The 14764-nt window shown below is 43.7% G+C and overlaps 1 protein-coding gene across 9 annotated transcripts in view; it reads left to right on the top strand.

Moving 5' to 3' along the window:
• The window catches only part of SEL1L3 (SEL1L family member 3), a 149603-nt gene that overhangs the window by 37209 nt on the left and 97630 nt on the right, over nucleotides 1–14764 (top strand). For all 9 annotated transcript variants that reach the window (XR_007096387.1, XR_007096388.1, XR_001741182.3 and 6 more), the window contains exons 7-9: nucleotides 4230–4362; nucleotides 6418–6550; nucleotides 8080–8220. Coding sequence is in view for 5 of the 9 variants with exons in the window: in NM_001297592.2 (NP_001284521.1) it covers nucleotides 4230–4362; nucleotides 6418–6550; nucleotides 8080–8220 (407 nt within the window). In the remaining 4 variants the exon portion in view is untranslated. The remainder of the gene's footprint in view (nucleotides 1–4229; nucleotides 4363–6417; nucleotides 6551–8079; nucleotides 8221–14764) is intronic.

Raw genomic sequence — 14764 nt, 5'->3', positions numbered from 1 at the left:
AATGACTGTTGTCCTACAAGGATAGTGTGAGAAGATCAGGAATTAAGTGCTCGGGATTGCAGTGCAACGCATAAATGAAAGGCTGTCAATAATATCCCATGACAGGTGACAGCTTCAGGCCTCTATAGCGTTAAATTCATTCATTTATTCAACACCTGTTTACTGAGCACCTGTCACATGCCAGACACAGCACTCAACTCTGGAAATAAAATGATGAACACAAAGAATACAGACTCTGCCTTCATGGAGCTAAAATATTGAGATGGGGAGACAAACAGAAAACAAATTCACAAATAAATTTAAAATTACAAATCGTGGTGAGTGCTAGGAAAGAAATGGATAAGGTAGCTTGAGGAGAACAAGGGGGTCAGAATTTAGACCAGGCCGGCCGGGCGTGGTGGCTTATGCCTGTAATCCCAGCACTTTGGGAGGCCGAAGCAGGCGGATCATGAGGTCAAGAGATGGAGACCATCTGGCCAACATGGTGAAACCCCATCTCTACTAAAAATACAAAAATTAGCTGGGCGTGGTGGCGCATGCCTGTATTCCCAGCTACTCGGGAGGCTGAGGCAGGAGAATCGCTTGAACCCAGGAGGCAGAGGTTGCAGTGAGCTGAGATTGCGCCACTGCACTCCAGCCTGGCAACAGAGCAAGACTCTGTCTCCAAAAAAAAAAAAAAAAAAAAAAAAAATAGAATTTAGACCAGGCCCTGAAGAAGTGACTTGTAAGATGATGGTTACTCTGTGGGACATGGGGGCAGCCAATTTGAAGCTCTAAGTTCTCATACCACAGAAACTTCAAGCTGGAGCTATTTCTTAATTCTGAGAGAGGCCTGTTTCACAACGTCGGTGATTCTTTCAGGCTTCTGGTGCTCTGCGGTAATAAACCAGGGCACTCTCCTATGTCCAGATAAGAGTAAAGATAGTTTGCCAGCATGTCTCGGGTTTTCAAAAGGGGCTGGCTTGGGCTTTGGAAGAGTCTAGCTCAGCTTTTATGTCAGTGAAATTGATGACCATCAAACAGTGCACAGTACAAGGAATCTCTTGCAATCTTTGTGCAGACACTGAGAATTTTGCGGGAGAAAAATATGAAGACATCAATGTACATGGAGACCAAGCTGGACATATATCCTATTGCTTGATAATAATGACAATTTAAAAATTACGATTCAGTGCCCTAGGGACCAAGTAATTTGTTTTTTGTTGAAAAACTCAGTTAATGCAAGGATCCACTAAAACAGATAACTCCCTTAAACATTTTATTTCAATTAAAACATATATATGTATATATTCATTTGCCAATCTTTCTAGAGAGGGCCTTCTTTTGAGTACAAATCTGCAGATTAGCGTTTGCTGTGGGCTTTTTTCACACTTGTAAACAACACCCAATTTCTGTTTCTTCCAAATGAAAGCAAAGATACTTGTGAAAATAATCAGAGCCCAAAAGCCATCTAGATTTTTCTCAATTTTTTCCCATGACATTTTACAATTTTTTAGTAAGCTCTATTGCGTCTACCCAAAATAATCAACTTAGTTTTTATAGAAAGAAGAGCTCTTTCTTCCCCACTCATGTTTTATTGAATTACATATGTAAGTAAATGGTATGATTACAATAAATATACTACTGATATTAACTGTTTGGGCTCAAGTGATCCCCCCACCTCGGCCTTCCAAAGTGCTGAGATTATAGGCATGAGCCACTGCACCAGGCCAACATTAACTGGCTTGAGAGTATGCACATCTTATTCTTGCTAAGCATGAAACTCAAGATGTGGGAGCCAAAGTCCAACAGAGGGCTAGGTTAAGGATGATAATCACTGTTGCTGATGGTTATGGTGTCTGCTCTGTGCCTGACACTGTTTGAAATGCTTTGTTTACATATTAGTTTATTTCATCTTCATAACAACCATACAGGCAGGTACTATTACTATTTCCGTTTTTTAAATGGGGAGACTAAGGCTCTAGACAGTAAGCTCTAGGCAGTGAGGCGGTGAGCATCCCGGATGCTGTAAGCATCAGTCAGTCGGTTTTGCATGAGGACAGTCAGGTAAGCTGGGGAGTTGGTTCAGCTGCAGCTCCGTTAAGAGGGCTTCCTACTGCAGAAGTGTTGCTTTGTATCCATCTAGTGCCCCGTGCTGTCTCATGAGGGTTGTTGGAATGTTCATGTCTTTTCAAGGTCTTGGAAAACAGACTCAGTTCGCAACTCTCAGAGATAATAACTTTATGGCCTCTCCTTAAATAGGCAGGAGAGACCATCATCTTCACAGTCCTACAAGACTGAGATTCTGAAAAGAAAAATATCAGGAGCTGAAGCACTTCTTTTCCATTTTGGTTGTGTTTAGACGAGACTAATCTCTAGACGTTCGATGTTGCTGCTGTCAGCTGTTGCTGCCAGGCTGTGTGCTTTGCTTCATTGTCTCATGCCTCCTCCCTGGCCAGGTGCACCTGCTAGGGCTTGGGTTGTTTGCTAACAGACAGTCCATCCCTCGTTCTGAAATAACCCTGGGTTGCCTGGTTTCCCTGATCCAACTGTGGGTAGCTTGCCCTGTCCCCATCCATCGTCACTCCGGCCCTTTGCTCCTTCGGCTCCCTGGGCTCCTGGCAGCCTGCCTGACACTTTGTTTTCTTTCCCTCTGCTTCCATCTGCCCCTTGTGGTTCCTGGCTCCATCTTATTGCCTGACCTCTCACTTGATACCTGTCTTAGCCCTCACTCCCCTCACTGTTCACATATGCTCTGATCACACATATGCTGTGATCTATTCTTTAAAATAAGAATCCTCCCATTCTTATTTTAAATTCTTGTTATTTTTATTTTATTTATTTATTTTTGTTATTATTATTTTGACATGGAGTCTCGCTCTTGTCACCCAGGTTGGAGTGCAGTGGCGCAATCTCAGCTCACTGCAACCTCTGCCTCCCAGGTTTGAGCAATTCTCCTGTATTAGCCCCCTGAGTAGCTGGATTACAGGCACGCACCACCACACCTGGCTAATTTTTATATTTTTAGTAGAGATGGGCTTCACCATGTTGGCCAGGCTGGTCTTGAACTCCTGACCTCAGGTGATCTGCCCACCTTGGCCTCCCAAAGTGCTGGGATTACAGGCGTGAGCCACCATGCCCAGCATTATTTTAAATTCTTAATAGGTAATAGATGCACATGGTTTTAAAAAATCAAAACTTTGTAAAAATACAGTTAAATATCTTGCTCCCAAGCCTACCCTCATGCACTTCATCCCAACCCCCCACCACCCCATGGGGAGATAATTCTATTGGTTTCTTGTATACACTTTGGCCCAGAGTTTCTTTATGCAAATATGAAAAAAATCTGTTAGCCTCTTTCTTAGATAAAAGGTATGCTCTGTGTCCTGTACTTTTATTTTTTTTACTTAACACTATATTTTGGAGATCCCTCCAGGTTCCTTTGTCCCTTTTTTAGTTGCATAGTGAAAAAGCTCAAGGTACACTAAATTGATGGGCCAGTCCCCGCTGACAGACACCGGGGTTCTCCCATCTTTGGCGAATATAAACAATGTTGCAAGGAACACCTTCATGCATTCTATAAATGCCAACCCACTTTGTCCTCCCTTTCCTTCCTGATGTTTCAAGCCCTTCAGGACAGTGTGGTCCTCCAACTCATCACCTGTGCTCACCTCTCATCTCCGGCCAAACCCTCTGACCTGGCTGTGGCCTCCTCCTCCTCCTAACTGAATTTTGCCTCAGTCCTTATCTAATAGTCTACGCTTTTGGCTTTCCCCCACAGCCACCTTCTATTCATTCAACAAGGTTTGTTATTTTCTTTTAAAGCAAAATATTTCCAATGAAAACCAACAATTCCAGACAATTCCATTGATTCTGAACAATACCACCACTATCAATACCACATATTGACTATTTACTGTGGGCCAAGCACTCTGCTAGATGCTTGACATCTTTACACTTCACGTAATCCTCTTAACCATCCAGTAAGTGGAGAACTATCATTTGACACAGGAGAAGACAGCACTGGAGAGGAGGTTAAGTGACTGGGCTGAGGTCTCATAGCTGGTAAACAGCAGAATTGGGATCCTAGCCGAAGTCCACCTGACCCTACGCTGGTCTCATCTGCTAAAACTCAGAGTGAAGGGCTTGGGGCAATTTGGGTTAAGTCAAGGAGGGTCTAGGAAAGAGACTGTTTTTAAATCATCTAGTTCCGGCATGGAGCTCTCTTAATCCTTCATTCTCTTCTCTAGCTTCCGGGAGGATTTCCATTATAATGACACAGCTGGGTACTTCATTATTGGAGGGAGCAGGTATGTGGCTGGCATTGAAGGGTTTTTTGGACCCCTGAAGTACTATCGCCTTCGCAGTCTGCACCCCGCCCAGGTGAGTCCAGGGGATCAGGAAGATTGCGGTACTCCTGGGTGATGGGTGTGGGCCTCAGGGGTGTGCCACCCAGTGTAAATAAAAGTTTACCCAAGCCAGACCATGCATCGCCTCTGTCATCAGACATCATTAATATTGAGGCTTTTCCCCCAGCAAATGCAATAAAAATTTCTGTTAACATTTGGTTCATTTAGTACTCATAAAATGGAAACCATTGACTTCCTCTGTTTTAATAACTACTAGTTTAATTATAGAGTAGATTTTCATCAGGCTGTTGCCTATCCAGCGATTAAGCTAATGAAAGGAGAGAATCTTAGTTATTTGGTAAACCTTCTTTTATATAATATTATTTAAAGTATCAGAAGAGATACTGTAGCAAATTAAAATCTTGGTTCCATTGGCTGCTCTCTTCAGAAACACAGGCCTTCAGCTCACGCTGGGGTCGGTTGGCAGCAGTTGTATGGATCGAAAAGGGCATTGTGTTCAGGGCTGAATCCTCTGCACAGTGCCTTCCACATCCATAACCCGCCCCCGAATGGAACTGTCCAACGCTTCCAGCCAACACAGCTGGACTGGTCGGGGGAGAGGGCTATTTCCCTATGAGGGAGCCTTCAGGGCACTTGTTTTCTGGGCTGCTTTAAGGAGATCAAGAACCCCACCTGATACCTGAAAGAGAAACATTCTGTCATTCCCTTCACCCTGTGGGGTTTATTCTGAGAAAAACAGGGGTCACTAGGCAAAGTCATAATCAGGAAAAATGGGGAGTCCTGCTGCCCATGGGTGATATCTTACAGCCTCTGTGAGACACTTTTGTGAAAAGGGAAAAAAATGAAATAGTCATTTGTGCAACAAATGCTTATTGAGAACCTACTGTATGCCAGGCTTTGAACTAGGTGTTGAGACAAGCAAGATGGATAGGTTTAAAATTGTTTTGAAGGTTGTCCACAATAAGAAATCTGCTTAATATCAGCCAAGCGTGGTGGCTCACACCTGTAATCCCAGCGCTTTGGGAGGCCGAGGCAGGCGGATCACTTGAAGTCAGGAGTTTGAGACCAGCCAACAAGGTGAAACCCCGTGTCTACTAAAAATACAAAAATTAGCTGGACGTGCTCACTTGAACCCAGGAGGCAGAGGTTGCAGTGAGCCAAGATTGTGCGACTGCACTGCAGCCTGGGTGACAAGAGCAGGACTGTCTCAAATAAAAAAAATTAAAAAAAGAAAGAAAGAAATGTGTTTAATATCATGAACAGTACATATACATATGCATACATATATTCACACATAAAATGGAAACAAAATTATTCTAAGAATACATACCCTTGCTATATTCAGTGCACGCTGATATTTTGTGTTCTACTTTATAGAAACAAAAAACACCACCAAAACTCTGGAGGTTCCCACCCACTGAAATAACTGTGTGACCCTCTAATGGGTCCCAGCCTCTATTTTGAAGCACACTGAGCTAAGTCCCTTGTTCCTGAGGCGCTCCCTTTCGGGATCTTAAACAGGGAATTCATGAAAGAATACAGTACATGCTTTAATTCAGATGTGTTTGGGAGTGCTGAGGCAGGAACGGATACATCGGCCCGTAAGTGAGATGGGGTGAGCCACTAGGGGGGCCTGTCCTGAAGCCATGGCCTTGCAGCCAGCTCTTGGAGGTTGCAGAAGAGGGGAGGAGGGCTCTCTTTGATGCAGCAGGCACGTCGTGGGTACCCTTGCATCTTTTCGTGGGAATTGAAGGGGGAGGTGAGTGTGATTTTCTAGGGACAGAGTGCAGCCAGAGAAAAGAAGAGGGAAGAGTCCCAGTCTCTGGGAAATTCTGACATTTAAGAAGCTGGACACAAAGAGAAGCTGAAGGGAAGCCATCAGAGCTGGCATGTCCTTGAATTAGTACCAATGACCTTGCTTTGCAAATCCAGAGTGGATGATATGTGTACAAACGAGCCACCTGGAGATGTCAATGGGAGAACAAAGTCAACCCAAACACATCCTCCTAGAGGTGGATGGATATTTGATGACAATTGTTGTTCATTTGACTTTCTTGCCTTCTTGTAGATTTTTAATCCCCTCCTTGAGAAGCAACTTGCTGAACAAATCAAGTTATATTATGAAAGGTGTGCTGAGGTTCAAGAAATAGTATCTGTGTATGCATCTGCAGCAAAGCACGGGGGCGAGAGACAAGAAGCATGTAAGTGTTGAGCTTCAGGGGAGCTGTTTTAAGCTCTGTGCATTTACATAAACACATGTTTGGCTTCTCCATAACAGGATTAAAATTAAACATATATGACTTGGCTCAGATACCAGATGGGACAAGTGTGACCTTGAGCCCTCCACTGGTGGATACAGGTGAAATTGTACATTCCACCTGGATTCTACCAAGACCAATGACAGCCAAGAAGAACCAAAACATCTTATAGCTCCAACCATAAAAATCTAGTTTACAAGTACAAATGAAAGCGAGTGTTTTGTGCCTTCGCATGGCGTTATTCCCAACCATAAGGCCAGCCTAAGAAAATAAAAATGAACTGGAAAATAAATTAATCATTAGAAATGTTTCCCCATCAGTGCACTTTTGTTTTGGGCCATTGATATCTGAATATTAGCTTTCAGAAATGTTGAATGGTGACTTTGTTGTTTGGAGCTTGGTTTTATTTTTTAAATCCTTGAAATTGACTCATTCTCGAAGACATCGGTAATTTTTAACAGAAGGAATGAATTTCAAATAGACTGCTTTCATGCATGCTCATATTTGCACAGACATCCTTTTACTCACACAGGGTGTTTATCAGTTACAAAACTTGGTCCTGTCTGGTTCGCCAGTGTTCCAGCTTGGATCTAGCACTTACACATTTCTCTGTGCTGTGGATCTTGCTGTTTGATATGGTGGCACTAGAGTTACTCACATATGTTCCTTCTGGAAGAGAAATTCCTGTGGGACCTTTGCCATCAGCAAAAGCGAATTGAGTATTTCAGTCCTGCCCATATGTCTCTATCTCCAGAGCGGAACTTCTCATTCCAGGTCGTGGAGGGAGGGATGCATCTCAAACATGCCCCAGTCCAATAGGGTTCACATGAAATGGTCCCAGGTAGTGATTACAGATGGTGACAGGTGAGTGTGGAAAGATAGTGCTTCTGCAATTCAATTTAAGAATAGGCTATACTGGTCCCCAGCTGCTGCTCTCACTGCTGAATCATCCGGAAAATATGATGCTGTCAACAGGAGGGGGAAGATATATAGGAATAGTAATAACCCAAAGAGGAAAGAAACTGACTTTGGTAACTTATGTACTCTCAGGAGACATACCCTGAGATAGAAGGCCAGGCATGCACACCCATCTGTTTGGTGGCATTAGGAAGATTTTCCTATCATCTTGAACTGCTTTGCCTCCCTGAGGGTCTTTGTGCTTTGCTCCTCAACTCACATGCCAAAAAATGGCCTAGATATTGGCCTCCTGGGGACCGGTCAGAGGCCAGCTGCTCATTCTGTAGAATTATTCAACAGCCATCAGCAACTTTGGCACATTTCTCATGGACTTGGCTCTGAATTTGTGACCTGGAGGCAAAAGCATCATAGCCAATTTCAAATCCCAAAAGGACCAAAACCAACATCCAGTAATGGCAAGTCTTTCTAGTTCCTGTTAGGAAGAAGGGCTTTAGGGAGGTGAGTCTTATCTTCTGCTAAAGGGTGTGATATCTTCTGCTCCCTCTTCTGTGTAGGCCACCTCCACAACTCCTACCTGGACCTCCAGCGCAGGTATGGGAGACCCTCGATGTGCAGAGCCTTCCCCTGGGAGAAGGAGCTGAAAGACAAACACCCCAGCTTGTTCCAGGCATTGCTGGAGATGGATCTGCTGACCGGTAATTGAGTCTTTGCCTCGGCTTTAGGCGCTGGTTAGAAAGGCTCCTTGTTTTTCTCTGTTTCACTCACCCTCTTTGGTGATTTATGCCTTAAAGTTATTTTTAACCCTAGTGTTTTAGTTTAATTTCAGATTTAAATTCTGCCTTTGTATGTCCACAACTCTCGATATATCTGTGCACACTTCCAACACTAAATGCAAAAACTTAAATTTAGGAATCGCTCAAGCAATTCTTTATTGAAAGCCAAGGCGGCAAATGGATAGGCCGCAGCCAGAGCCAGCCCCAGATGCAGTTGATTTGGAAAATACCTTGTTGTATATGTTTTAAAAAAAATCAGTTATCTAAAAAGCTTGTATGAAAATGCAAATTTCTAGCTTTTTAAAAAAAAAGAAGAAAAAAACAAAGATCTGGCAAGACTGGGCCTTTCTCCTATGTGGCAGCAATTGTGGAGGTGAGGCTGAGACCAGGCATACTTTGTCCACCCACAGCCCCTCCTGTCTGTTTCATCATCTCCTGCTTACTTCATTCATGGATCTGACCCGTCTGAGCCCACAGACACTTGAACGTGGGACCTCCGATTTGAAGTACACTTTAAGCATCATCTCAGGAATCTGCATAAACTTCCCAGATGCCACCAGCTTCTCTGTAGGCCCAGTGCAATTTGGGTTTGCTTAGTAATTCAGTGCATATTCTAGGGACGTGAGGGATCTTAAAACTATGCCTGTTAGGAAGAGGAAAGGCAGCTGGAGATGTTCGGTCTGGTGAAGAGGATCCTAGCAGGGAGTTGCCAACTGTCTTAGTGGTGGGAGGCAACTCCACGTAGTCCTGGGCATAGAACCAGATCCTGAGTTGAGGCGATGCAGAAACTGACTTCTGCCTCATGTAAGATTGGTGTCTTACATTGTACCCACCGCCTAAGAATGGCAGTGTCTAACAGCATAGATTTCCTTTGCAAATAGTGACCATCCTGCAAAGAATTCAAGTCATATAGGATATTTTATCATTCATTCTTCTGATGCTTACTCAGTGACTACTCAGTTGCTTGGCTAGACTTCAGAGATATGTGAAGTAACACAATGCTTCTGTCCTTGAGGAATGGACTTGAAAGCAAAGAAAAATAGTAATGGATTTTATTAAAGATATAGAAGCTAATGGTGGAGACACAAAGAAGGGAGTGGTCAGTTCTACCTGGAGGGCTGAGGTGTTCTGGGAAGGCTTCCTGGAAGAGGAGACACTGGGACTGATTCTTGAAAGGCCAACAGGTGTTTGCCAGATAAGAGAGTTGGAGGTGGGAATTGCAGGCAGAGCAGACCCTGAGAGGTGGTAACAGCACAGCATGTCGCATGATGGTGCTGTGACAATGGGGAGGCAGGAGAAGCCCTGCAAAGTGATTGTTCCAACGAGAGCTCAGACACCATCCTGAAGTTTGGGCTTTACCTTTCAGGTGACAGGGACCTGCTGAAGGGTTTCAAGCAAGAAGAAGAGACATAGTGAGATCTGGGATTTTGAGGTCACTCTGGTGGCAGTGAATGGCAGGGAGGTGAATTAGAAGCGGGTGGAGCTGGAAGAAGGGAATATATTGCCATGGTCCCTTGAGGAGTGGATGCAGGCCTGAGTGGGACATGGTGACAGGAACAGAGCTGAAGGATGTAGAGATGGGCTCTGAGGGACTCCATGGCTGCTTGGATGTGGGCACAAAGGACAAGTAGGCAGGAGGCTGCGTCATGTTGTGTAATGAGTGGCGTAGCCTCTGGAGCCAGCTGGCCTGGGTCCAATTTTAACACTCACTAGCTGTGTGATTTGGGCAAGTTACTTAATTTCTCTGAGCCTTAGTTTCCTCATCTGCAAAATGGGGATGATAATAGTATCTGTCTTCTAGTATTGGGTTCAATAAATTGATCTATATATGTATATGTATATATAGGTATATATGTGTATGTATATGTGTGTGCATATGTGTGTATGTATATATAATATACATATATAATATATGTATATTATATTATGTAATATATCATATAATATATAATATATAAATATATAATATATAAGTATATAATATAGATTATTATATAAGTATTTCATATATATACAATATACTTAGAACAGTATCAGCACATGGTAAGCCCTACATAAGCAGGGTTTCTCAATCTCACAATATTGACATTTTGGACTGTAGAATTTTTTTTTGTTGGGGGCTGTCCTGTGTGTTACGGGATGTTTAGCTGCATTTCTGGACTCCACAACTAGATACCAAAAGCACCCCCCCCAATATCCCTCCTCTCCAAAAATATTTCCTGGTATTGCCAAATGCTCCCAAGTCCCCAGGGAGGCCAAATCACCCCCAGCTGAGAACCACTGCTATGTCAATGTTATTGCTCTTATTACTGGGCAGAGATAATTCCAGGTTTCCGTTGGATGGTTGTCTGGAGGTGACGAAGCCCCATGCCCCAAGACCCGCAAACAGGAGAGGGAGACGCATGTTGGACAGTTTAGGCTAAATGGACTAAGACCACATCCACACCAAAATTGTCTTTACAAGAGTTCTGATCCTACTTAAAAATAGTTGTGCTGATTGGGAACAGGAGTGCATCCTTTCCACAAAACATTCTTTTTTAAGTAAATACTGTCTATGAGAATGTTTTCATGTTATTGTTGCAGCTCAAAATTCTGTTTATAAGAATTTAGAATGATTTGTTTTCCATGGAGGCCTGGCAATGAAATCTAATTAAAAACCCCAATCATAAGTCCCCTTACCTTAAGACTCCCTGGGTATGGGCGCTGCAGAACCGCTAGATTCCCGCACAGTGAGCCTGTTCTGCTGACCTCCGTTAGACTTCTGGGGCCCCCATCAGTGGGGAGAGAGGGGGACCCAAAGCTGGATTTGCCACTTTAGGACCCACCGTTCATGACTAACCTGCCATTGGGGTCTTCTGGTGCCAAATTAGAACAGCACCAAGGAGCTTCCCCCGAGGGACCATACCTGCCAGCCTCCCCGGCCACCACAGCCTCTGCTTCCAGAGGCACATGGCCAGCTGCCTTCCTCTTCTCCCTGCCTTTCCCTGGCCTAGGAGATGGCAGGGAGGGAGAACCGAAGTTTAGGTGAATTTCTAGAACCAAGCCCTGGGCCCCATTTGCCTTCAGCACCTCTTTCTCTAGGTCACATTGGAAGGACTGGGGAGCCTTCTGCAGAGGTGGGGCATACACTCCTTAAGGTCATCTCTCTACCTGGCACAGTGCCCTTGCTTGGGGCTATCATAACATCTTCCAGCAACCCTGGGAGAAAGACTGGTGTCTTATGTTGCACCCAGCTTCCTAACAAGGCTGAGAAAAAAAAAAACCTTGATTTTGTAAATTGAGGGTAAAAAAAAATGAGTTTATATTTCCAACACGTCTTTACTCTGATCTCCTATAAAAAGAACCGTAGTAAGACGAGTGTGACGCTATCGCCGTTCCCAGTTCCTCAAATACCCTTCGTTCCAAGTTCTTCCTGCCCACAGCGTCTGGCCCTAGCTGGCTCCGGCGGGCTTCAGATGACTCTAGTTAACAGGAACTGTGTTTGCATTCTATTTTCTGCTGCTGCCCTGACCTGTCCTGTCCTGTTGATTAATAGACTTTATTAGAACATCCTCATTGTATTACATTTTTCATATCTGAGATAAGCTATAAGAATGGATTCAAGCATGAGATGTTTGATGCTTGGAATTCTTATTGTAGGCACTGAATAGGCGTGGTAACAAAGATAAGGAATTTAACTGAGTGGGTGTGTTCTGAAGTCACTCACAACCTTTCATTCATTCATTTACTGAACAAGCATTGACTGAGTGCCCCCTACGAGCCAGGATAGAATCAAAATGGGGCTGTGTTTTGAATGAGAGTCATTTAGGCTAATGTAAAAGAAAACATCAGCTTCCATAGTTTCCCCAAAGGGCATTAATTTGTGGATTTTTTTTTTCTGGAATTTTTAACAAATAAGATGACACCATGGTGCAAGAGAAAATGGGCTGTAATTTCTGGTTCTGTCTGAGAGTCATCTTCTTCCCTGCCAGCAGCTTTTCTTCATAGACACAGCCAGCACTCCACTTCCAGGCCGCTACATATGCACGTTTCAGACCTGAAAGCGTTTCTTTCCCCCACACTGTGTGATTTTAGGTGGATCATCTGCTCACTATCTCAGCCAACAACACACTTCAAAGCAGAGATGAGAACATTGCAGGGGGTAGAGAGTGAGGAGGCTTTGGCTTCATTAACAGCCAGTGGGAAGTGGAAAAGAGTGTCCTCCACATTCCCGTCCAGTGAGGTCAGCACCTTTGAGTTGTTCCCAGAATAACCGTATTATTCTATTACAAAAGAGACTTGCCAAATATTTACACTTTTCCTCTTTAAGGGCTGTGATTTATCTTTTTAAAATTCTTATTCTTGCTAATATACACATAACAAAATTTGCCATCTGAACCAGTTTTAGGTGTACACAGTTCAGCAGTGCTAAGGATATTCACATTGTGCCACAGAGCTCCACGACTTTTTTCTTGCAAAACTGAAAATCCATACTCAGTAAACGTCTCCCCATTGCCCCCATCCCAAACCCTGGGAGCCGTCATCCTGCTTTTTATTTCGATGAGTTTGACTGCTTTAGATACCTCATATCTAATACCACTTGGTATTTTACACAGTATTTGTCTTTTGGTGACTGGCTTATTTCACTTAGCATAATGTCCTCAAGGTTCACCTCTGTTGCAGTGTGTGTTAGAATTTCCTTTCATTTTAAGGCTGAATGGTATTTCATGACATGTTTATACCACACTTTATTTATCCATTCATCCATCGATGGACACTTGAGTTGCTTCCACCCCTTGACTATTGTGAATAACTTTGCTTAGAATATAGGCCTAAAAATATCTCTTTAGAACCATGCTTTCATTTTTTGTTAGATATATACAGTATCCAGAAGCAGAATTTCTGGGTCATATAGTAATTCTACATTTAATTTTTTGAGAAACCTCCATGCTGTCTTCCACAGCAGCTGGACCCTTTATATTCCCTCCAACGGTGCACAAGGGTTCCAATTTCTCCACATCCTCAGAAACACTTGTTATTTCCTGTTTTGTTTGTTTGTATGTTTTTTTGAGACAGAATCTGGCTCTGTCGCCCAGGCTGGAGTGCAGTGGCAGATCTCGGCTCACTACAATTTCTGCCTCCTGGGTTCAAGCGATTCTCCTGCCTCAGCCTCCTGAGTAGCTGGGATTACAGGCGCACGCCACCACACCCAGCTAATTTTTGTATTTTTAGTAGAGATGGGGTTTTGCCATGTTGGCCAGGCTGGTCTTGAACTCCTGACCTTAAGTGATCCACCTGCCTCAGCCTCCCAAAGTGCTGGGATTATAGGCATGAGCCACTGCACCTACCCTTTTTTTTTTTTTTTTCTGAGACAGAGTTTCACTCTTGTTGCCCAAGCTAGAGTGCAGTGGCATGATCTTGGCTTACTGCAACCTCTGCCTCCCGGGTTCAAGCTATTCTCTTGCCTCAGCCTCCTGAGTAACTAGGATTACAGATGCCTGCAGCCACACCTGGCTAATTTTTAGTAGAGACAGGGTTTCGCCATGTTGGCCAGGCTGGTCTCAAACTCCTGACCTCAGTTGATCTCCCTGCCTCAGCCTCCCAAAGTGCTAGGATTTCAGGTGTGAGCCCCTGTGCCCAACCCTGTCTTTGAGGACATCCAAGCTCTACTGTGAAATCAGGAAAGTCGACAGTCATTATGCAGGATGGTAGTTCTGGTAAAGGGGATGCCTACACTGTGGCAAGGGGGGCATCAGAGAAGAGCCATCTGCCTGGGGAGACAGGAGAGATGACGTGAGGAGAGGTATCTGAGTGGGAACATAACAGCTGTTTGCCAGGCAGGCAAACTGAGGAGTGTGGGTGGATGAGGTATGTTCTTTGGTGAGTATGGGGCACAAACACGCCATGTGTGGTCATATAGAAGAAGGATCACTTCACTAACATATGGCATAGGCAGCTAACATATGCCTAGCACTGTTGCAGGCACTGTCTAGAATTCAAAGTATAAGTTGGATCCTTCCACTTCTTACACCAGCCTTAACAAGCTTGCCACGGAGTGAGCGACGGAGACACATGTAGGATCGAATGGTGTAACTCAAGGCAGAGTAAGATGAGCTCTATTCAGGCGAACCTATCCTCCGGGTCCATATGTTATCTTTCTATTCACTAAGTTCTGTCGTAGACATTATGTCACTTTATAAAAGCATTGCATTTTAAATTCCGGTTAAACCAGACTTTCTCCAATATATAAATTACTGCACAAAAATAAATTATACCTCACAGCCATGAGGATGGCTACTAACAACAACAACAACAAAAAAAAAAAAAAAAAACAGGAAAAGAAAACTCCTCAAAGATAGGAACAGTATCTAGGGTTTTGCTTTTTTTGTTGTTTTTTGTTTGTTTGTTTTTTAAGACTCTTGCCTCAATAAATATTTGTTTAGCAACTGAATGGCGGCAGCCCAAATGAATAAGTGATCTCACTGTT

Source organism: Homo sapiens, chromosome 4 (assembly GCF_000001405.40).
Source record: "Homo sapiens chromosome 4, GRCh38.p14 Primary Assembly".
In the NCBI taxonomy this organism is placed as follows: domain Eukaryota; kingdom Metazoa; phylum Chordata; class Mammalia; order Primates; family Hominidae; genus Homo; species Homo sapiens.
This window is presented reverse-complemented; position numbering and strand designations above follow the sequence as displayed.